Raw genomic sequence first — 25,932 nt, forward strand, 5'->3', positions numbered from 1 at the left:
TAATTCAATAAATTGGACTTCATCAAAAATTTAAAATGGTGCTAGTTCAAAAGAACATGGTTACAAAATGAAAAGGTAAACAACAGATTGGAAGAAAACATTTATAAAGCATGTATGTGCTATATACTATGCCTACTCTTTGACTTGATAACTGGTTGATGGCACACTGAAATTTACCATGGAAGATGAGGGCATGGGGCCCTGCTTTGACCTAGATCAGTAAATAATAATATATTTTGTTTCCTATTGTTTTTCCCAGATATATAGCTTCCTCTAGGACCTCAACCCTCTTCATGAGGTCTTACAGGAAATTAGGCACCCAAGAACAAATGGGTTTCTAACCAAAAACTCTTAAAAGCACAATCTCTCCTTAATTCTTAACACCTTCTAATTACTTTTTGTTTGTTTGTTTTTTGAGACGCAGTCTCACTCTGTCACCAGGCTGGAGTGTAGTGGTGCAATCTTGGCTCACTGCAACCTCCACCTCCTGGGTTCAAGCGATTCTCCTGCCTCAGACTCCTGAGTGGCTGGGACTACAGGTGCTCACCACCACGCCCAGCTAATTTTTGTATTTTTAGTGAAGACGGGGTTTCACCATGTTGGCCAGGATGCACCATGTTGGCCAGGATGGTCTCGATCTCTTGACCTCGTGAATTACACACCTCAGCCTCCCAAAGTGCTGGGATTACAGGCGTGAGCCACCGCACCCGGCCCTAATAAGATATTTTAAAGAGGCAATATACTCAAGAGCCCCTGGTGTAATTCCTGGCACATAATAGGTGCTTAGCAAATGTTAATCCTAAACAGTAGAGCCTTGCTACTTAAACTACAGTGCATGAGCCCAGCAGCAACTGTATCACCAAGATGCTTATAAGAAATGCAAAATCATGGGTTCCTCCACAAACCGACCACACCAGAATCTGCATCTTAACAAGATCCCCAGTAATTACTATATACATTCATGTTTCAGAAGTACTTCTGTAGAACACAGATCTGTAACTTTTTCTGTAAAGGGCCCAGTCACAAATATTTTAGTCTTTGCTGGCCAACAGGCAAAATCATATAGATACTTACATAACAAGACAGAAACAATTTTTTTTTTTTTTTGGAGACACTCTGTCGCCCAGGCTGGATACAGAAACAATTTCCAAAAACTTTTTATTGACAAAATCCAAGATACAATAATGAGTATAATATTTTATAATAGGCCAGGTGCAGTGGCTCACATCTATAATCCCAGCACGTTGGGAGACTGAGGAGGGCGGATCACTTAAGGTCAGGAGTTCAAGACCAGCCTGGCCAACATGGTGAAACCCCATCTCTACTAAAAACACAAAAATTAGCCAGGTGTGGTGGCGGATGCCTGTAATCCCAGCTACTTAGGAGGCTGAGGCACAAGAATCACTTGAACCCAGGAGGTAGAGGTTGCAGTGAGCCGAGATCACACCACTTCACTCCAGCCTGGGTGACAAGAGAAGACCCTATATGAAAAAATAAATAAATAAATACACACACACACACACACACACACACACACTTCTTTTTTTAATAAAAGTTTGCTAATGAAAAGAATGAAATTCTTTTTGAGAAGATAGCACCTCACTTAATTGGGGTTTCCTATCATCAAAATCTACTACAAATACTCATCTGTTAAATTTTGTTTTGAGACGGAGTCTTGCTCTGTTGCCCAGCCTGAAGTGCAGTGGCACAATCTCGGCTCACTACAACCTCCACCGCCCAGGTTCAAGAGATTCTCCCACCTCAGCCTCCCAAGTAGCCGGGATTACAGGCACATGCCACCATGCCTGGCTAATTTTTGTAATTTTTTTTTTAGTAGAAACAGGGTTTCACCATGTTGGCCAAGCTGTTTTTGAACTCCTAATCTCAAGTGATCAGCCCACCTGTGCCTCCTAAAGTGCTGGGATTACAGGCATGAGCCACCACGCCTGGCCTCATCTGTTAATACTGATCTGCAGGCTAAACGCAGTGGCTCACGTCTGTAATCACAACACTTTGGGAGGCCAAGACAGGTGGATTGTTTGAGCCCAAGAGTCCGAGACCAGCCTGGGCAACATAGGGAGACCCTGTCTCTACAAAAATTAAAAAAATAAAACCTAAGGTGTGGTGGTATGCACCTATGGTCGCAGCTACTCAGGAGGCTGAGGTAGGAGAAGCGCTTGGGGCCAGGAGATACAGGCTTGCAGTGAGTCATGATTGTGCCACTGTACTCCAGCCTGGGCGCAGAATGAGAGCACTTTTGCTTAAAAACAAACAAACAAAAAAACACTGATCTGTAATGAGACTGTATGTATTTGTCTTTGAAAATGTCTTTTAACAGAAACAGATATTGCCAAATATTGATATTAACCCACAAGCATGATTTTAATTGAGCATATTCATTACTGGGAAGGCAGTTATCCATTGGTTCTTCATTTGATATTTGCCTTTCAGTATGTCATCACAGTGCAGATTAATTACTTCCAATTCAAGGTTAGGTAGAAAGTTTCTCCACTACAAAATTAAACAAATTTTTGAAATATGGAACTTTCTGTGCATTTGTGTCAACTTCTGAAAAATGCTGTGGGAACTATAGTTTGAGACTAGAAAATACGTCCACTCATATTTATGTGGGAATGACAATCTAACTTCTTTGACAGCTTGAGAAATATATAAAGCAGCCTGAAATTATTTGGGATTTGAATATCAGTTGCCACTGAAATGACTTTACCACATTCTTTCAAATATAGACACTATTTTGCCTTGAAATCTTAGGTTAAATTCATTTTAAAAACATTACTCAATCTTCACAAAAAGCTAATTTCCAAAGCTAATTAGTATTTAATAGCAGTTGAGGGCAGTTCTCTTTATTAAAAAAATTTCAATCTCAGCCTTTAGCTCAAACAATTGTGAAAATATACTTTACCACTTCTAAGCCAGTCAGGATATTTGTCCTGTTTCTAACAAAAATTAATGCAGCTGATGCTAGTTAAGTCCAAAAGAGCAAACTGACTTCACAGTTGACAGTACTGATTCAGTAACACACATGGATAGATGGAAATATTTTCTGCAAAGTATCTGCCAATGAATAACAATGAATAACCATAAACTATGAACTCCTCAGTTTTACAAGCTTTGTAAATTACTCCAACTAAGCCTTTTGCTGCTCCGTATGTATTCTATCACCACCGCTTGCAGCACATCCTTACAGATTCCACTTCAGATTGTACTTAGTGTTTTCTCAGCTTTGAAAATATTCTTGCCTGTAGTTGTTCTGCACAGGCTATTCAGAGGCCAACTTTTCTGCCACTTCAAACTTGGAATTGACTCCTTGAATAAAGAACAACTGAATTGTATCAATAACATCTGCCGGCTCATCAAGAGCCGAGAAAAACCACTCCAAATCATTTGCCTTGTTTTTTAATTGACTAGTGATGTTGCTTCAAATGTCCTCAACTCTTAAATCAACTGTGCTTGCCAAAAAGCTAATAGCCTAAAACAAGTTTATTTTCTCTGGACATAATTTTTTTGACTGCTTCAATAAAATACAATTTAATTAACTCAACATCAGTAAATGGCTTTCCTTGCTTGGCAAACAAATAAGCCACTTGGAAACTTATTTTGGTGGCAGCCTCATTTTCATTTTTATGAAGAAATTATGCTGTGATGAGATATTCCATTTTTAAGTTTTGTAATTTTTCTATTGCTTTCCTCAGAGTTGGACATAGTGTAGTATATGATTAGTCTAGTTACTTTCATGTATACTGTATTCCTCTATTGCAGCTCTAGTGTCACTTCATAATAAGAGCAATGTTTTGCTATTAAATTCAATAACAAAATAACCCACACTCCAATGTGCCTTAAAAGCACGTCTATATTTTTCTCTTCTTTCCTTTTTTTGACATGATGGATACACAGTGGTAATAAATAAACAAATAAAATAAAAAATTGCAATCTGGTCACAGATGTGGCACTCAAAACACCGTCAAGCAATAATGGCAGCACTGAAATTTGTGGTACACCAAACAGTAGCTTGAAGTAATGAGAATGCCATATACAGTTTCTGTCAAAACTCCTCAGCTCTGCCATTATAAAGCAAAAGCAGCTGTGTTCCAATAAGACTTTATTTATAAATAGAAAATGAAATTCAAATTTCACATGTCACAAAGAATTATTTATTTTTTATTTCAACAGGTTTTGGGGGAACAGGTAGTGATTGGTTACATGAATAAGTTCTTTAGCGGTGATTTCTGAGATTTTGGTGCACCCATCACCTGAAAGAATTATTCTTTTTTGATGTTTTTAGCCATGTAAAAATAGGTAAGTTTGCTTACTCCTGTTCTAGAAAACACACTTCAAAGATTTCAATCTTTTATGGACTCAAACTGTCATTTTTGACCCTTAACAAAAAATTCTGTCCTCAAGAGGGAAATTTTCTGGAAAAAAAGTAAATTCACTATAATCCATCAAATTCTTTATTACAATAAATGTTTATAATTTTGAAAAGGAAGAAATTACAAAAGCCACTATAAAGATCATACCATTCTTAAAGAATAGCCCATTTCAAAGCACAACCACCTGTCTTTTAATTATGCTACTCTTCTTACTATCCTGTTTCCCAAAATTTACAAATGTAAATCCAAAACATCACATAAAACATATAACAAGGAATGTCACTACCCAAATTAGAGATCAATCACATTCAATATGATGAAGAAAAATTTTAGGGAACATAAAGAACACAATCCGACCCATTAGTTTGTCATGTTTCATTTTAATAAACATGTTTTCTCTCTCTCCCTGTCTTTAAACACACACTCTCATAAACTCAATAAATGTTGATTACTGTAGAAGTATGGGCTCCCAAGGATCCAAGGATGATATATTAGAACATATTACTAGTTCTGGTTAGTCAACATCACTTTATATGATAGTTATATCACCTGTATTTATGACAAGGAATCATTTTTTCATTATATAATTTTTTAGTTGCCTTAAGTCTTAATCTTCCTTGACGACAGTCATAATAAAATCAAATGCCTAGAATGCAGGTTTTTAAAAGGTTAATACCAGTTACCAAAAAGGTGAAAAAGAGTTTTTTCACTAAGAGCTTTCTAATAGTAGATTCAATTGCTGCTGAGCCATGACCTTAGTTTTAAATTTAAAACTTCCTGAAGTCTAAAAATATTTTAATTCACTCGAGATTTTAACTGCTACTTTTCATATTACACTTGATAAGCTGATTTATAGAGAACAGTTAAAGCTTTTCTTCTATTAATACTTTACATATTATACTAGATAAGGCAGAGGTTCCTTTTATTAAAAATAAACACTATGACAACGAAATTATTTCTCCAAGATAAAATATTCCACTTAAATAATTCCTTTTCATTAGTTTTTTTTAATGCACTCAAAAGTATCGAAAGCAAAAGAATTCAAAAGTCTGGGCTGGGCACGGTGGCTCACGCCTGTAATCCCAGCACTTTGGGAGGCTGAGGTGAGTGGATCACCTGAGGTCAGGAGATCAAGACCAGCCTGGTAAACATGGTGAAACCCCAATTCTACTAAAAAATACAAAAATTAGCCAGGCGTGGTGGTGCACACCTGTGATCCCAGCGACTCAGGAGGCTGAGGCACGAGAATCACTTGAACCCGGGAGGCGGAGGTTGCAGTGAGCTGAGATCATGTCACTGCACTCCAGCCTGGCCAACAGAGTGAGACTCCCGTCTCAAAAAAAAAAAAAAAAGAAAGAAAAAATTCAAGAAGTCTATATTGTATAACACTGGAATTACTTCTGAATCTTGTCTTGAAACATCCATTTTAACATGGTTAATAAATAGAACATACCTATTTTCATTGACAATATTTTGTACCATATTTAGCTATAACTTTTGTTGGCTATACTATGTTGCATTATTTATTCCACAGTTTGATTCCCTACTTTAAAACCAAATATTCTAATTTTTTGGCAGTTAAATGAACATGTTAGTTAAATGAGCTATCACAAAACCAGCCCAATTTCTTTTTCTAACCCTTCCCTCACATGAATTCAATAAACCCATTTCCTACATTTTTTTCTAATGATTTCAAATATTAACATTTAGAACATTAATCCATTTAGAATTATATATAGATATATATCTAATTTTTTTCCAAAGGAAAATGTCCCAATTTCTCACCAATTCAAACTTTTCCCACTAATTTAAAATACCTCTCTGGTTATCACATTCCATAAACATCGGTCTGTTTTGTACTTTATTCACTAAATAGTTTCACTAAACTATTTATCTGTTTCTGAGTCATATTATCTATCCATCTATCTACATATATAGATATATATGTACTGCACATACACACATAAACACAGACACACACTTTCCGAAGATTTCACCCAAATGTCTGACAACAGTAAGTATAGAAAGTCAGGTCCCTGAATCTAGGTATACATGTTCAATTATATAACCCTGTGGTAGAGAAGACAGGTCTAATCTAGAATCATTCCAAGTCAGAGTAATGCTTCACCTAATCTTTTTAATATAATTGGTCTTTTTAAACACTTTTGTTGCAACCCTTACAGCAAAGAATTCAAATACTCTGAGACCAAATAATTCATATAAGGAGATATGGCTTGCATCAGAGTTACTAAAGCATAGGGTTTCTGCTTCTCTCTACTGCCATGACCTTAAAAAATGAAAATAATTTAAATTTCAATTTTATTCTTACTAATAAAAAAATCTGACAACTAATTTTTCTTTCATCAAAAACATACGTAGGTCGATAAGTTGTGTAAAGTTTGGTCAAGTTCTTTAATCTCTCTCTATTTTAGCTTCCTTATATAGAAAATGGAGATAATAAAAGTACATACCTTATAGAGTTGTTAAAGTAAAATAAGTTTCTATGAATAGTTTTGAACTAAATCTGTCACTTAGAAAGCATTCAATAAATGTGAACATATATGTATGCTAAAATATAAGTGCTCAATAAATATTAGCATATATAATGTAATAAGCCCCCTTCTAGCTTTCTTCCTGGGGTTAGAAGTTCCTGCTAAGTATAATAGGATTACATATACTTCCGTGCCTAATTTCTTTATGCTAATATAGTAGTAACACAACTAACCAAGTTCCTCTTCCTCTAGCCTCAAACTTGTGACAATCTGCTATTTTTAAAATCAATCTCTCACATTGTGTATATACATGTACATGTATATATATATACACATACATACAAATGTATATACACATACTCACATATAGATGTATTTTATACTAGACTGCATTTCTGTATTAACATATAGTCCTGATTTTAAAAATAAAGAAATTGAGACACTGAAAGGTTAAGTTATACTGCCTTTTGTTATAGTTTATATCCACTCAACTAAGCATCTCTGTCCCAAAAGAAGGGTCCAGAGGAAGAGTATGTGTGTGTGTGTGTGTATGTGTGTGTGCACGTGTCCGTGTCAGAGACACAGAGAAAAACAGAGCATGTACTTGATCCTGCAGTAAGAAGGAATGTTCTCTAAGAAAACTCCAAAACAGGAATCTGGTAAAACTTGAGCTGGTAATTACCCTCTCCTCACTACCAGAAAGTAGACTGGTATCTTGTCTCTAACCTAAGTACTCAAGACTCTTTTTTGGTTTCATCCCTTTCCCTCATTACTAAGTAATAGGTGCTTCTTGAAATAAATACAAAAATATAAAAGTAAAAAGTCCCAATACCTCCTTGTCTCCAAATCCCACTCCTGAGAGGTAACCAATTGTTATGAACCTTAAAAAGGACAGTGATGATTTACTGCTCCACAGTACTCCTTCTTGGCCTATTCTTCTATCCCAATAATACAGGGTGAAAGAAGGGCCACAGAACAGTTTTTCTTTCTTAAAGTCCCTTTACAGCAGGTAAGTAGATCCCTGACCAAAAAGGAGGCTGCAAGTACTTTTTGTAAGAAGTCCAAGTTGAATACGATCTACCTATTAAAGCACAACTGAAAACAATGAATGAAAATCAACAAGGGGCCAGGAGTGGTGTCTCACATCTGTAATCCCAGCACTTTGAAGGCCAAGGCAGGCAGGTCCTTTGTGCCCAGGAGTTCGAGACCAGCCTGGGCAACCTGAAGAGACCCCATCTCTACAAAAAAATTTAAAAAATTATCCAGGCATGGTAGTCCGCACCTATAGTCCCAGGCTGAGGTGGGAAGATCACTTGAGCCCAGGAAGTAGAGGCTGTGGTAGTAAGCTGTGAAATGCTGCCACCGCACTCCAGCCTGGGATATAGATAGGTTACCAAATAACATAACATAACATAACATAACATAACATAACATAACATAACATAACATAACATGGGTAAAATTCTAAATATTCTAAATATTCATACAGTGATTTCAACCTATTATTTCATCAACATCATCTTTACCATATCCTCGTAAGATTCCTAAAATTGATTTCTGTGGACATTTATTTTAACAATACAGCCAGCTGTAAGGTTAAGAACATGGGCTCTGTGGCCAGACTGCCTGAGTTCAAATCCCAGCTTTGCCACGTAGTGACCCGATTATTATAAAATCTTGGTAATAACGGCTGGGTACAGTGGATCATGCCTATAATCCCAGCACTTTGGGAGGCTGAGGCGGGCAGATCACAAGGTCAGGGGTTCAAGACCAACCTGGCCAACATGGTGAAACCCCCTCTCTACTAGAAATACAAAAATTAGCTGGGCGTGGTGGCATGTGCCTGTAGTCTCAGCTACTCAGGAGGCTGAAGCAGGAGAATTGCTTGAACCCAGGAGGCGGAGGCTGCAGTAAGCCAAGATCGCACCACTGCACTCTAGCCTGGGCAACAGAGCAACTCTATCTCGGGGAAAAAAAAAATCTTGGTAATGACTATGTCCATCACAGGGTTGTTCACAGGCAGGACACAGCGTTAATTCATAAGGTGAGTTAAATGAGATAATACATGTAAGGTTTTGGCAGGTTCCTGGACCATATTAGCCTAAATGATGTTTACTTACTAAGTCCCAGAAAAATAAGCAACTTGCCCAAAAATACATGCAAAGTAAATCACGTGAGAAGAGAAAGCAACAGAAGGAACATATTAGCATTCCAATCTACTCACTTTCTACTCACCTAGCCTAAACCTTCAAATAAGGAACAAAAATAAATAAATTTTATCCACCAGATTTCCAATAAAACAGGCTAGCCTACGTAGGATAGGGCTCCTACCTGCTCTACATGTCCACGTAGACATGTTGAGTTATCCTGCTTGATGAAAACTAAAACAATCTTTAACCATCACTTCCAACTCTAACGTGCTATCAAGACTCCAGGGAATGCCAACTTTGGGATCCAGATATATAAATTAGCACATAATCCACATTAAGGTCATAATGGTCCTCTAGAAAGACATATTTCCAAAGACCAAATCACCCCAAAATCAAAATTTTAAGATTCTAATAATAATTTCTTTTATCTGCAACCTTAACGGACACACCAACCTGTAAACTTAGATAGATACCTATATATCTTTGTATCTATATATATAGATAGATGCAGAGATCTATATATCTATATATAGAGAGAGATACAGAGATATATAGATAGATACAGAAATATGTATATAATACAAGCTATGTAAATCAAATTTGAATGAAGGATGAAAAAGTACTATTTTTAACAGGTTAAATCACAGGAAGTTACAGACACTCAACCATTTTTAATCTATAAAATAGGTTCATATGGTTCAACCTAATACTCAATGACCAAAATGGCCTATGATATAATCAGATCCCCTAGTGTCCTCACAAATTACTGTAACTGCCATTTTTGGACAGTATTTAGTGATTCAAATAAATTGTGGGTCACATCATTCTCGTACCTTTTTTGTATAACTCTAAAAGCTGCCAAAACAGAGTGGCAGATGCAAAGTTCTATAGTCATATGCCTGGTTGGCCTCAGATTAACACCATAGTTTTCCAGCAAACAGTCACTTAAAAATACTGACTTATACCAAGACTTCTTTCAATTATTATATTTCTGACTTCATATTTCTTCATATTTCTTCCCCAAGACAATTTATTTGCCTTATGAACAAAAGGATATTTTCCTAAAAAACTGTCAGGAAAGAAGCAATTTCACTTCTTTCCCTTTTTACCCGTAATCATGAACGCATGGTAAAGAAAAATGGAAAAATGCAAAAAATTAAAGCCAAAAAAATCCCACTCATAGTCCTACCACCCAAAGATAACCAATGTCAACAATGGCTTATTTTCTTCCAGTCTTTTTTTCCACATACTTTTTTTTTTTCCAACAATTGAGATTACATTTTATACAGTGGTAGCCCCTGGCATTCAAAGACACTTTTACATTTACAATTATGAAAATGTGTACAAAATCCTGAAAGTTCATCACATGATATATTTATCACTAGCTGACGTACTGCTAAATGAAAGATCTTACATAAAATCTCCATCCATCCAATTCTCAGTTTGGGTTTGTTTTTCTTTACCATTGTATTCGTCCGTTCTCACACTGCTATGAAGAAATACCTGAGACTGGGTAATTATAAAGAAAAGAGGTTTAATTGACTCACAGTTCTTCATGGCTGAGGAAGCCTCAGGAAACTTACAATCATGGCCAAAGGCACCTCTTCACAGAGCAGCAGAAGAATGAGTGCAAGCAGGAGAAATGCCAAACACTTACAAAACCATTACATCTTGTGAGAACTCACTATCGGGAGGAGACCCAGCATGTGGGAAAGCGCCCCCATGATCCAGTCACTTCCCACCGAGTCCCTTCCAGGACACATGGAGATTATGGGAACTACAATTCAAGATGAGATTTGGATGGCGACACAGCTAAACCATATCAACAGTAGTCATATATCCAGAAACTCATAAAGTTACTTACCCCCCCCAACACGAGTTTCAGATAAATTATAAACTTACGTATTTGTATAAGTTCACTGCATATTAATGTTAGTACTCTAATAATACAGCGTAGTGGTATTTTAGTAAAAGTTTTTTAAGTTTCTTTACAAATAGCTGTTTTCTAAGATAATTAAAAGCCTAAAAGGGACACTTACACTTTTGTGTTTAATACTGATGGCTGTTAGCCAGGTGCTATGGCTTCCGAGTTCAAGATCAGCTTGGGCCACATAGTAAGACCTCATCTCAACAAAACATCAAAAAATTAGCTGGGTGGGGTGATCCCAACTACTCAAGAGATTGAGGTGGGAGAATCCCTTGACCCCAGAGATCAAGGCTGCAGTGAGCTATGAACACGCCACTGCATTCCAGCCTAGGGAACAAAGTGAGACACTGTCTCAAAAAACATAACAAAACACTAAATCTAAATCTCAACTCCACCACACAGTTAACTCTCAGCAACGATTTCTTTATTTGTAAAATGAGAATAAATGTCTAACTTACTGGCTTGAAGATTAACACAACACTAAATATGGATTAAACTCCTCTTACAGATCTTATTTAAAAACCAAGGAACTATAACTTCTTGGAGCTCAATATGTAAAACTATATAATAATAAAAATAAAAGGGACACAAGCTGAGCTACTTTAGTCAAGTTGAAAATTAAACATTGTTACCTGTCAAGTACTATAGCTTCTGCCTTTTTGCCTAACAGTAGATTCCAGAGGGGAAACATGGGGACATGTTAGGCAGCCATCCAGGTTAAGAGAAAATAGGAGCCTAACTAGAACAGTGACAGATAAGAAAAGTATCTAAGAGAGAAAAAACAACAAGATTTGGTGACAGACTGAATTCAGGCGCAGGCTCATGTCTGTAATCCCAGCACTTTGGAAGGCTGAGGAGGGTGGATCACTTGAGGTCAGGAGTTCCAGACCAGCCTGGCCAACATGGGGAAACCCTGTCTCTACTAAAAATACAAAAATATTAGCCGGGCTTGGTGGCAGGTGCCTGTAATCCCAGCTATTCGCAAGGCTGAGGCACGAGAACCACCTGAATCCAGGAGGCAGAGGTTGCAGTGAGCTGAAACTCTACCAAGGCACTTCAGCCTGGGAGACAGAGTGAGACCCTGTCTAAAATAATATAAAATAAGCTTTTTTAAAAAAAGAAAAGGGAATGGTTTCTTTCTGGCTTTAGACACTGATAGTTCATAGTGTCTAACTATGAACAATGATGAATACAGGTTGAGTATCCCTTATCCAAAATGCCCAGGAGCAACATGTTTCAGACTTCTGATTTTTTTTTTTTTTTAATATTTGAGTGTACATAATGAGGTATCTGGGGGATGGGACCCAAGTCTAAACATAACATTTATTTATGTTTCATATACATTGTGATGGTGTCAGGGTGTTGCCCAGGCTGGAGTGCAGTGGCATGATCGCAGCTAACTGCAGCCTCACTCTCCGGCTCAAGCAATCCTCCCACCTTCTCCCAAGTAGCTGAGGACTACAGAGATGTGCCACCATACCTGGCTGTTTTTTTTAATCCATAAAATTCATTGTTATGTGCCCAGCCACAATCATTTCAAGTTTTTTTCTTCCTCAGCATGTAAACCTAAATGCCATGCAGCATAACAGTTCTCTAAATTTATCTGCTTAACAGACAATTTGATTATAATATATAGGCAAGGTATGATTAATTCTATATGACACATAAAAATCAATCCCATATCTTTTTTAGTCACATTATATATATATTTCATCCTCTCAGATTGCTGTTCATGTACTTTAAAAACAATTATGGAATGGTCAGCTTCTCTATTAGACTGGCATTTAGCAAATCAGAAATTCCCCTTACTGTTCTCCTCATTCTTGCAATATATTACCTTTGTAAGTAAGGATTAAATTATGTTAATTTCTTATTTAATTGTACTTGTGACACACTGCAAGAGAGAAAAGAAAGTATTATTAAAATATAGTTGGCTAACAACTTGACTAACGATTGGGCAAAGAATCTGAACAGACATTTCTCCAGAGATGATATATAAATGGCCAAGAAATGAAAAGATGCTCACATCCAGCAATCCCATTTCTATATATCCAAAGAAACTGAAATCATTATGTTAAGGAGATATCTGCACTCCCATGTTCACTGCAGCACTATTCACAATAGCCAAGATACAGAATCAACCTAAATGTCCATCAACAGATGAATAGGAAAAAAAAAAAAATGTGGTATATATACAATGTAATACTATTTGGCCTTTTTTTTTTTTTTTTTTTTTTTGAGACAGGGTCTTGCTCTGTCGCCCAAGCTGGCGAGCAGTAGTGCCATCACAGCTCACACCTCAAGGGGTGCTTGAGGTGGAGCTCAAGCAATCCTTCCACCTAAGCCTCCCAAAGTGCTAGGATTACAGGCATGTGCCACTGAGCCGGACCTATTCAGCCTTAAAAAAGAAGGAAATCCTGTCATTTGAAACAACATGGATGAACTTAGAGGACAAAGTAAAATAAGCCAGGCACAGAAAGACAAATACCACATAATCTCACTTACATGTGGAATCTAAAAAATTTGAACACACAAAAGCAGAAAGAATAGTGGTTACCAGGGGCTGGGAGAAATGAGGAAATGTTGGTCAAAGGACACAAAGTTTGAGTTAGACAGAAAAAATAAGTTTTTGAGATCCATCGCACAGCAGGGTGACTATAGTTAATAATGATATATGACATGTATTTCAAAATAGCTAAAAGAATAAATTTCAAATGTCTTGCTGGAAAAATTAAAGGAGGTGACCGATATGTTAATTAGCTTTGTTTAATCATTCCACATTATGTGTGTGTTTGTGTGTGTGTGTGTGTATATATATATATATATATATATATCAAAACATGACACTGTACCCCATAAATGTATACAATTATGATTTGCCAATTAAAAATATTAATTGAGCTAGGCATAGTGTCTGGAGGCTGAGGTGGGAGGATCATTTGAGCTCAGGAGTTTGGGGCCAGCCTGGGCAATGTAACAAGATCCTATCTCTTAAAAAAGAAAAAGATGGCCAGGCACGGTGGTTCATGCCTATAATCCCAGCACTTTGGGAGGCCGAGGAGGGTGGATCACCTGAGGTCAGGAGTTCGAGACCATCCTGGCCAACATGGTAAAACCCCATCTCTACTAAAAATGTAAAAAATTAGCCGGGAGTGGTGGTGGGCACCTGTAATCCCAGCTACTCCAGAGGTTGGGGCAGGAGAATCGCTTGAACCCGGGAGGCAGAGGCTGCAGTGAGCTGAGGTCGCACCACTGCACTCCAACGTGGGCGACAAGAAAAAAAGAAAAAGATGCTCAACACCACTAATTATTAGCAAAATGTAAATAAAAAAATACAATAAGATATCACCTCACACCTATTAGAATGGCTACCATCAAAAACACTGAAAAAAAGTGTTGTCAAGGATTGTGGAAAAATGGGAACCTTTGTGTACTGTCAGTAGGAATGTAAAATGGTACAGCTAGATAGAAAATAGAAAGCAGGATCTCAAAGACATTGCTGCACACCCATGTTCATAGCAGCACTACTCACGATACCCAAGAAGTGGAAGCAACCCATGTCCAATCAAAAGATGAATGGATAAACAAAATGTGGTACACACGTACTATGGAATATTATTCAGCCTTAAAAAGGAAGGAAACACTGAAACATGACACAATATGGGTGAACCTTGAAGACGTTATGTTGAGGGAAATAAGTCAGACACAAAATGACAAATACTATATGATTCCAGTTCTGTGAGGTATCTAGAGTAGTGAAACTTACAGAGACAGAAAGTAGAATAGTGGTTGCTGGGGCCTAGGGGCAGAGGGGAATTAGAAAGTTGTTTAATGGGTGTAAAGTTACAGTTTGACAAAACGAAAACATTCTGGAGATTAGCTGCACAACAACAGGAATACACTTAACACTACCGACTTAGAAATGGCTAAGAGGTAGCCAGGCAGGGTGGCAGCCTCCAGAGGCTGAGGCAAGTGAACCTGGGAGGCGGAGGTTGCACCACTGCACTCCAGCCTGGGTGACAGAGTGAGACGCTGTCTCAAAAAAGGACAGGACAAGACAGGACAGGAAAGGAAAAGAAAAGGCTAAGATGGTACATTTTATGTCGTGTGTTTTTTAACCACAATTACAATTTTGAAAAAAAATGGCTAAAATGTTTGCATATGTACAGAGCTAACAATTTTGGTCCTTGACTTTTCTTGATCTATGAAAAGTCAGAGAAACATCTGCTCTTTAACTTAAAACTTTCAACTACCTGGATAGCTGGGTAACTAGAAGGGTTGAACTTCCTCAAGGAAAGTTACTCTATACAAGGACGGGCAGCAGTGACTACCCTGTTAAATATTATAAGGTAAAAAAATCAAGACTACTTTGTGATTAGTAAAATCAATATGAAATTCAAATATCAGTGTCCATAGTAAGGTTTTAAAGAACACAGTCATCCCACTTGTTAGCATATTGTCTATGGCTGCACTTTACCACACAAACACAAGCACCTGTCGTAGTTGTGACAACTCTTTTAAAACAGTTTAGGCCAGGTGTGGTGGCTCACACTTGTAATCCCAGCACTTTGGGAAGCCAAGACTGGTGGATTGCTTGAGCTCAGGAATTCAAAAACAGTCTGAGTAACATGGTGAAACCCATCTCTACAAAAAATATAAAAATTAGCCAGGCAAGGTGAGAGGACTGCTTGAGGCTTGGAGGTCAAGGCTGCAATGAGCTGAGATCATGCCACTGTACTCCAGGCTGGGTGACAGAGTGAGACCCTGTTTCAAAAAAAAAAAAGTTTGCTGACTCATGCTCTATATCTTATCCCAAATAAGGAATTAGATGCAGAGCAGAAATAAAACGAAGTAAATTCAAAAAAGAATATCAACAAATTAAAATGTTGATTCAATGAAGTGATTTTTTAAAAAATAAAAAGCCATAGCCTTTTCTGTGGCTTTTTATTTTATTTCTACCCCCAAGCCATCTACATATACACCCAGGCACATGCACATATGCCTTGTTTAATATCTTTAGTATCCGGAATAAGCCTCAGTTTTAAGATAAACTTTCAGCCAGGCGCAGTGGCTCACGTCTGTAATCCTAACACTTTGGGAGGCTAACGTGGGCGGATTGCCTGAGCTCAGGAGTTCGCGACCAACCTGGGCAACATGGTGAAACCCCGTCTCTACTAAAATACAAAAAATTAGCCGGGTGTGGCAGCGTGTGCCTGTAGTCCCAGCTACTCGGGAGGCTGAGGCAGGAGAAATGCTTGAACCCAGGAGGTGAAGGTTGCAGTGAGCTGAGATCGCGCCACTGCACTACAGCCTGGGTGACAGAGTGAGACTCTGTCTCAAAAAAAAATAAAATAAAATAAAAAAGTAAAAAATAAAAAAAAAACTTTCATTAGTTATTAAGCTCTTTGAGCACTCTTAATAAACAGGATTTATACAACTATTCAGTTATACAGCTTTGTCTTCTCAAATAACTGGACTGAAAGTTATTTTTACTTCATACAAATTTAGAAAAGGCATCCTATAAAAGTTAAATTATACAATAAAATTATTGAGAACTAATGATAAAAAGTTTGCATCACTTTTATCACTTTCTTAAAAGCAAGCTCAAGGGGGTAGAGATAGGGGTTGTAATTTATCGTGTGAGCTTTCAAAGATAACTAAAATGTTTGCTTATATCAAGAAGTTTTAGACAGTGTTCTAACTGGCCATGTACACATTTGTTTTAGCCAGTTAACTTATTAACATAAAATTTAAGGAAGAAGAGAATTTGCTAAATACTAATATACTTACAACGACATATTTAATATATTTATTTTGGCTTTATAATAGCAAATAGAGAGTAGAGAACTACTATAAATTGGTCCTAGCACAGAGGCTCCCATACCAAGGTATACTTATCTAAAAAATACTGCAAACCTTCAAATTTCAGATGGCAGCATTTGGAGGACAGTACGAAATAACGTAATCCCTCTTAAAAATCCCAATCATTTTTTTCTCAAGCTAGAGAAGAAAATTAGTCCAAAGAAATTTAAGTAATCTTAACATAAAAACTATCACACTCCTTGTAGTTTGTAAATACTATAGTAAGCCTTGGCAGTAATGAGCAGGAGTAACAAGTCCAAGATGAGATTTAAGACTGTTTTAATTTTTAAAACAAGTCACAAATAGAAACAGTAATAAACACGTGGAAAACTGCTTAATCTCTTGGTAATCAAATATATGTAGTAAGTAAAATAACATGTAATACCACCCCTACTTAACAAGCCAAACACTTCCTAAAAATACTAAGAGCAGTAATGTTTCCATTAAACTGGTTCATATGTATGTTGCTAGTGGCACTCTAAAGTTACAACTCGTACAATACAGTAACATCCACAAAGACATTCATATTTTTTTACTAAATAATCAATAAATTGAAACAGTAACTACAATACATAAGATGAAATTTTCCAAAGGCATAAAGGGTGTTATACAGTATGAGCAACTCTAAAAGTCTGTTTCGAAAGCTAAAACTTTTTTATATTAAACTACTGCTCAAAGGGTTATAATTTAAAAGAAGCAAAGTGACTAAGACGTGTATCACATTTTTACTTACAGGACAAAGAATTGAGTACAGAGCTGAGAAAATACCCAGCATTAAAGGAATAGGATATATATATACACACACATATTATATATAATGTTATTTCACGAAGAGCTGTCTTTTAAAAATATATTGTAATGCTCTGACGATTTTATTTGAATCCAAACTTAACTTACATTGGTACTAGCCGGTTGCCAAAAAAACTTAAAATAACAGTAATCTGGCTGGGCATGGTGGCTCACGCCTGTAATCCCAGCACTTTGGGAGGCAGGGGCGGGCAGATCTCCAGAGGTCAGGGGTTTGAGACCAGCCTGGACGACAAGGCGAAACCCTGTCTTTACTAAAGATTCAAAAATTAGCTGGGCATGGTGGCACACGAGTCCCAGCTAACTCGGGAGGCTGAGGCAGGAGAATCGCTTGAATCTGGGAGGCAGAGGTTGCAGTGAACCGAGATCCCACCACTGCACTCCAGCCTGGGCAACAGAGTGAGACTCTGTCTCAAAAACAAACAAACAAACAACAACAACAACAACAAAAACCGGTTATCTTCAAGGCATCAAAGGCAAAAATAGTTCTGCTTCCAATTAAACCTACAATTCCAGATGGCTAACTGCTCCACAAGTTGGTCCTATTCAAACTCTGTATATAACCCAGTGGTCCCCAACCTTTTTGGCACCAGTGGCCAGTTTCATGGAAGACAATTTTTCCATGGACCAGGGGTGGGGTGGGGTGGGGTGGGGTGGAGTGGAGATGGTTTCAGATGAAACTGTTACACCTCAAATCATCAGGCATTAGTTAGATTCTCATAAGGAGCAAGCGACCTAGATCCCTCGCATGTGCAGTTCACAACAGGGTCCACGCTCCTCTGAGAATCTAATGCCACGGATGATCTCACAGGAGGTGGAGCTCAGGCGGGAATGCTCACTGGCCTGCTGCTCACCTCCCGCTGTGTGGCTCATTCCTCACAGGATAGCGACCAGTACAGGTATGCAGCCCTGGTGTTGTGGACCCGATATAACCAATTGATAATTTAAACAAAAGGAAGATAAAGAGAGTGAGAGAAGAAGAGCGTGGTTAAGAGGAGAAAAAGATTCAGATTCACCCAAAATTTCAAAGCCAATTAAAGAATTAAAAATAAAAGCAAACAAGGACTTTCTCCTTCCAGTAATGGTGATCAGGTCATCAAACCAATCTTCTGGCTGAAGAAACTTGAAAAGTTGAACTAAGTTTAAAAAACGAAAACTCTACTTCTAGAGATCAGGCAGTAAAGAAATGGGGCCAGAATTCACTAAGTTCCCAGAAGTGAGTCTGGTATACCAGGTTTCTTCTCCCCTACAGGCATCTGCTGATTTAAGTAGTGACTGTGAGGCTGGAAAGCTAAGCAAAACATCTGAAAGCCTCACTGGGTTAGCCAGACAAAAATGAGACCCTGAGCCTCCCCCAAACTCTGGGTTGGGATCTCAACCTCAGAGCAAAAGAATTACAATTAAAGCCCAGATTCAAATAATCTCAATCCTTAAAAGTGAATTAAGAAAAGCAGATTTATAGGGCCCCTATGTTTCTGTCAAAATTAAATGTAAATTTTATGTCATGGAAGACTACCATTATTCTAGGCCTCAAATTATTTCTACAGTTTTTCACATCAAATGTCTCATACACAATAAAAATTAACCAGAAATCCAAGAAAATAACGCAAATAAAATGCAAATGAAACATGGAACAAGACCCAAAGGTATCTAGATAATTAAGTTATCAGACACAGACTCTCGAATAAGTATGCTGAGTAGTTAACACTGAGAACTTTAGCAGAAAACCTGAAACTAAAGAGAATAAAATTGAAATTCTAGAACCAAAAAGTAAAATAAACTAAATTAAAGAACTCAGTGTATGAGTCTGATGGCATATTAGACACAGCCTAAGAGAATTAATGAAATGGAAGATTGGTCAGAAAAATATATCTTTAAAAATGCACACAGGAATAAAAAGATAAAACATACAAAAAAGGATGTAAGAAACATAGGGCAAATTTAAGAATGTTTAATACATGTATAACTGGAGTACCAGGAGGAAAGAAGATGACAAGACAGAAGCACTATCCGAAGTGATATAGTCTGAGAATTTTCCAAAACTGACGAACGAGCTCATCAGTCCTGTGCAACAGAACTTTCTATTCTATTGATAGAATGATGGAAATGTTCTCCATCTGCCAATAGAGTAACTAATAGAAACATTTGTCTACTGAGAACTTAAAATGTGAGGAATTGAATTTTTAACTTTTTAAATGTTAATTGGTATCAACAGTTACATGCAGCTAGTGGCTGGCACTGGGCAGTGCAGTCCTACGTCACAGTTATAAGAAGTCCTATAAACACCAAGCTGAACAAATAAAAGATCACACCTAGACATATCACAGTAAAACTGCTGAAAACCAAATATAAACACCCCCACTCCAACAAAAACAAAAAGTGACCAGAGATCTACAAGCTAGATTACAGTCAAAGGAGCAACAGTAAGACTGATAGTTGACTTCTCAACAGAAACTCTGGAAACCAGGTCTCAAGGGCACTGTGCATAGCTGCAACATGACAAATGAAAAAAACTGCCAACCAAGATTTCTGTATCCAGCTCCCTCCCCCCAAAAAAATCCCTTCAAGAATAAAAATGAAAAAAAAGCATTATCAGATAAGCAAAAAAGAATTCCTCAACAGATAGGCCCAAATAGAGAAAAAAAAGAGTATTTTCAGAGAGAAAATCAACCCAGCTAGAAGCCTGGAAATGCACTAAAGATTGAAGAAAAAAACTGAGTATATAAACAAATTTAAATGTATAATTACTGAATAAAACACTAATGGTAATATCTTGTGGGGAGTTAAAATATCAGAGAACTAAACTATCTGGCAATAGTATGTAATTCTGGAGAGGGAAATGTACAGTTAATGTTTTCTAATGTTGCTGCACTGACCAGAAAGAGAAAAAAGTGCTAACTTATATCACACTTTAACACAGAAAGGAGGCATATTGTAATCTCTAGGATAAATATTAAAAACAAATTTAAAAAAAGATGGTCTAACTATTAAGCCAAGTTGGGGGGTGGGGGGTATTTGGAACAAAAAATAATAATAATCCCAAAAGCAGCAGAAAAGGAGAATAAGAGAAAGTTCAAACAGGATAAACAGAAATCATTTATTAGGAATATCAATTTAAACATATCAGCAAGTATATTAAATGTAAATGTACTACATGTTCCAATTAAAGAACAAACATGGTCAAACTAGTTTATTTAAACTAGTATATGCAACTTAAAAGATATGGCTAAAACGCGAAAGCTGAAAGAATGGAAAAAGCTGTAGCATGCAAACACCAAATGAAAGTTAGTGTATCTGCCTTAACACTAGATTAAAAACACTACAAGGTAAAATGCAATACTGAGATAAAGAGGGACACGTCACAATAATAAAAAGTTTGATTCACCAGGTAGATTTAAAAAAACCTTGACTTGTCAGCACTTTAACATAATCAAAATATATAAAACAAAAACTGACAAATTAAACAGAGAGACAAATGTTATAATCATTTGGGGATATTTTAACAAACCTTTGTCTGAATAGGAGCAAACAAATGCAAAAGCAGTAAAAATCTGAAACAGAAACAAACTTGATAGAACATATTACACCACATCTAACAACTGTAGTCTATAAATATTTTGTTGTTGTACACAAGGAATGTTTACCCAAAAAGACCATATGTTGAACCATAAAGCAAGTCTCAAATTTCCAAGAACTTAAGTCTTAGGGATTTAAATCTTACTAGAATGGAGTCAAATCAGAAATCAGGGCTGAGCATGGTGGCTCACACCTGTAATCCCAGCTACTCCGGAGGGATTCGCTTGAACCCAGAATCACTTGAACTCAGAGACAGAAGTTGCATTGAGCCAAGATCATGCCACTACTCCAGCCTGCGCGACAAATCGAGACTCCGTCTCTCAATAAATGAATGACTGAATGAAGGAATGAATGAATGAATGCACGAATGGACAAAGGGGTCAGTAGTGACAAACTTTACTGAAAGTAAGGAAATGATATCAAATGGTAAATGAATAGACAAGTAAGGTTAGTACAAAAACTATAAAATGTATTTTCCTTATCTCAGTTTCATCAAAAGATACATTTGGGAGGCCAAGGTGGGAGGATCACTTGAGGTCAGGAATTCAAGACCAGCCCAGTCAACACAGTGAAACCCCATCTCTACTAAAATACAAAAAGTTAGCTGGGTGTGGTGGCACATGCCTGTAATCCCCACCTACTCGGGAGGCTGAGGCATGAGAATTGTTTGAACCCAGGAGGCAGAGGTTGCAGTGAGCCAAGATCACACCACTGCACTCCAGACTGGGCAGAAGAGTGGGACTCTATCTCCAAAAAAAAAAAAAAAAAAAAAAAAAAAAAAAAAAAAAAAAAAAAAAAAAAAAAGGTGGGGGAGGTGGAATAGTAGAGCTATACAGGACTAAAGTTTCTATATATTGCAAGAATTAATGTAGCTATGAAGTAGACTCTGATAAGCTAAGATATATAAATGTAAACCCTACAGTAATCACTAGTAATTCAAATATAGTTTTAAAATGATTAAAGAAATTAAAATGTTACACTGGGAAATACTCATGTAATGCAAAAGACAGCAGTAGAGGAGGGAAAGAGGACAAAAGAGAAATGAGACCTATAGAAAACAAAACAAAGTGGCAGACAAATTTAACCCTATCAGTAACACTAAATGTGAATGGATTAAATAATACACTCAAGAGGCAGAAATTACCAGATTGGGTTTTAAAAGAATAAGATCCAATTAAACGCTGTCTACTTAAGACATATTTTAGATTCAAAAATACAAACGGGACAGGATAAGAGTAAATGGATGGGAAAAAACATACCATGCAAAAGAGCTGGCATGAATATACTAGTATCAGACAAACTTTTAAAAACTGGTGTTTTGAGAGGTCAAGAGAAACATTTTAAAACAATTAAGGGTCAATTTATTAGGAAGATATAAGAATTCTAATCACTTGCACTTTATGACAGAGCCCCAAATTACATGAAGCAAAACTGACAGAATTAAAGGGAGAAATAGACAAGCCAAGAACAATAGTTGGAAGAATTAAATGGCCCACTTTCAATAATGAATAGAACTAGGCAGAAGATCAATAAGGAAACAGAAAACAAACACTATAATCAACTAGATGGAAAAGACAGCTAGAGAACGTTCTGCCCAACAACACAATACACATTTTTCTAAAAAAGCACACATGGAACATTCTCCAGGATAGATGATCTATGCTAGACCATAAAACCAGCATCAACAAACTGAAAAGGATAAAAAGGATACAAAGTACGTTCTCTGATCACAATAGAATTAAATTAGAACTCAGTAACAGAAAAAAAATCGAGAAATTCACAAATATGCAGAAATTAACATATTCCTAAATAAATAATGGGTCAAATGAAATAAAAAGAAAAATTAGAAAATACTTGAGATGAATAAAAACAAAAAGGCAACATATCAAAACTTATGGAATGAACTAAATCAGTGCTTAGAGGGAAATTTACAGCTATAATGCCTATATTAAAAACAGAAAATATGGGAAAACATTTTTATGAACTTGAGATAAGAAAAGGCTTCTTAAATACCATAAAGAGAAGACAAAAGCAGGCCACAGAATAGGGGGAAAAAGTTTTAATAAAAAATAAGACTTCTCATCCAAAATACAAAAAGAATGCCTTCAAGTATGGTTTTTAAAAGACAAACACAACAGACAAATGAACAAAAGATTTGAACAAGCACTTCACAAAGGATAACGAAAAGGCCAATAAACTTTATGAAAAAGTGGTAAACATCCTTAGTCATCAGGGAAATGAAAAATTAAAACCACACAGATACCATCTTACAGCCAGGCACGGTGGCTCACACCTATAATCCCAGCACTTTAGGAAGCCAAGATGGGCAGATCACTTGAGGCCAGGAGTTCGAGACCAGCCTGGCCAACATGGTGAAACCCGTCTCTAACAAAAACACAAAAATTAGCCAGGCGTGGAGATGCACGCATGTAGTCCTAGCTACTGGAAAGGCTGAGGCAGGAGAATCGTTTGAATCCAAGAGGCAGAGGTTGCAGTGAGCCGAGATCGCACCACTGCGACAGAGCAAGACACAGACTACAAACAAACAAAAAAAGGCCGGGCACAGTGGTTCACACCTGTAATCCCAGCACTTTGGGAGGCCAAGGCGGGTGGATCACGAGGTCAGGAGTTCGAGGCCAGCCTGGTCAACATGGTGAAACCCTGTCTCTACTAAAAATACAAAAATTAGCTGGGCATGGTGGCGGGCACCTGTAATCCCGGCTACTCGGGAGGCTGAGGCAGGAGAATCATTTGAACCCGGGAAGCGGAGGCTGCAGTGAGCCGAGATTGTGCCATAGCACTCCAGACTGGGCAACAGGGTGAGACTCTGTCTCAAAAAAAAAAAAACAAAAAACAAATATAATGTATGAAGAGACAGGTATAAACATGTTCATAATACCATTATTAATATTTTGTCAAGTGGAAACAATCCAAATGTCAATCAACAAAGTATAAAATGTAGTACATTCACACAAAGTAATATTATAGTGCAATTAAAATTACAGTTTCAGAAAATAATGTGGATGAATCTTACAAATAATATGTGGGGCAAAAATATCTAGATACAAAATATATAATGCGTGGATCCATTTATATCAAACTCAAAAACAGGCATAACTAAATCAGAATAATGGTTACTTTGGGGAGCATGGAGAAGGTAGTGACTGATGGGGAAGGAGAGTGTTTGAAGTGCTGGCAATATTCTATTTCTTGTCTCAGTGGTCGTTACACAGGTCAGAGTTTATAATAACTTACTGAGCACTACTTTGTGTGCCTTTTCAGTATGTGTTATGCTTCAATATGAAAGATAAAATATATAAAATTTAGAAATAAAATCAGTTGAATCACACTAAAATTAGAGTACTTGAACTTCAGAAAGCAGTAACTTTTAAAGACTTATACTCATTAAAGTATCATAAAGAGCCAGTCATACTGAAGTGTGCCTGAAGTCCTAGCTATTTAGGAGGCAGAGGTGGGAAGATCACTTGAGCCCAGGAGTTCCAGGCTGCAGTGAGCTATGATTGCGCCACTATACTCCAGCCGGGACAACAGAGTGAGACTCTGTAAGAATGTGATTCTTTTGTAGTTCTTAAGTGTGATGACTGGGTGCTCACACACAAGAGGTGCCTCTCTCAAACCTTGTTATGACATCAGCATATGACCCATCTGATAAGAAAATAAATAAAATATAAAGAACAACTGGTATTGAATTCAATAAAAGCATAAAACTTTATACAATGGAAAATATTCAAATATATAAAAGAAAAAATATGACGGTGGAAATAGTTTCATCAAATGTAACAAGAATTAACATCACTACCATATATTCTCATGTCTAAGATACAGACGTCAAGAAAAATTGGCTTTGGGCTCTTGATAAAAATATTAAGTTCAATCTCACTACCAATCAAGACATATCAACTGAAACAAGATACCATTTTAACAGCAGTTAAACTGGAGGAAAACTGTGTAACTCCCTTCTGTAGGGAGTACTTTGTTCACAACCTCTGTGGCAGAAATACAATTTCCTTCCTTCCCACTTCTCCTTTTTAGAAAACTTTATTTCACAGCACTGGAAACAGTTGCTCAATGATCCACAAGAGAACAATGCTACTGTGATTCCTGAATTTCCGGTTTCTACCTCAGTAGGCCTCCTTAAGGCCTAACTGGGGTCTAAGGGATACCCAGCTCTATAACCTTCTACTACTAATAAATCTGTTTTGCTTAAGTTAATTTCTAGCAACCAAATGACCAATGAATATAACACCTTGATATAGCTTATCTCAGAAGCTGAAAACTGGCAATTCGGGTTGTTTTATCTAACCCACAAGGTGTTCTTCAAAAGTATAAATTAAATGTTAGAAATTATCCTTCCTCACTAGACTGTGACCAAGCTCCTAGAAAGCAAGGACTAACTTCATCATATTTATCTTTGTTTCCTCATTACTAGGCTTCAGGTCCAAAAATACTTGCTGAATGAACAAACTATGCCAATAAGTTTTCTATAAAACTCTATAGCTCTGACAACTGATTCATCTCAGAGAACAATAGACTAAAATCCCAGTTATTCCACTAAGAAAACAACAGTGACAACAGAGATTAAACGACATAAAAATACTCGCCCCCTTTGCCCAGTAAGCCAAATCTTTGAAATGTAAAAAACAAAAAGTAATTCACAGTTGTGATCATAGCACAGTACAGCCTTTCAACTTCTGGGCTCAAATGAT

At 37.0% G+C, this 25,932-nt stretch overlaps 2 protein-coding genes and 1 pseudogene across 6 annotated transcripts in view; 1 reads left to right on the top strand and 2 right to left on the bottom strand.

The window, feature by feature from the left end:
- Positions 1-25,932, bottom strand: part of TLK1 (tousled like kinase 1) — a 240,471-nt gene that overhangs the window by 130,728 nt on the left and 83,811 nt on the right. The gene's annotated exons all lie outside the window — the stretch shown is intronic.
- LOC124906092 (uncharacterized) lies at positions 656-21,955 on the bottom strand. Its single transcript, XM_047446755.1, has one exon. The coding sequence runs from the start codon at positions 2,420-2,422 to the stop codon at positions 1,925-1,927; it is 498 nt and encodes a 165-aa protein (XP_047302711.1). The 5' UTR covers positions 2,423-21,955; the 3' UTR covers positions 656-1,924.
- LOC124906168 (uncharacterized) lies at positions 24,780-24,877 on the top strand (annotated as a pseudogene).

The sequence above is a fragment of the Homo sapiens genome, chromosome 2 (assembly GCF_000001405.40).
Source record: "Homo sapiens chromosome 2, GRCh38.p14 Primary Assembly".
Taxonomy (NCBI): Eukaryota; Metazoa; Chordata; class Mammalia; order Primates; family Hominidae; genus Homo; species Homo sapiens.

What these genes read in the sequence shown, in the direction of transcription:
- LOC124906092 (XM_047446755.1), bottom strand. Translation starts at nt 2,422, where the DNA reads ATGGATAACTGCCTTCCCAGTAATGAATATGCTCAATTAAAATCATGC.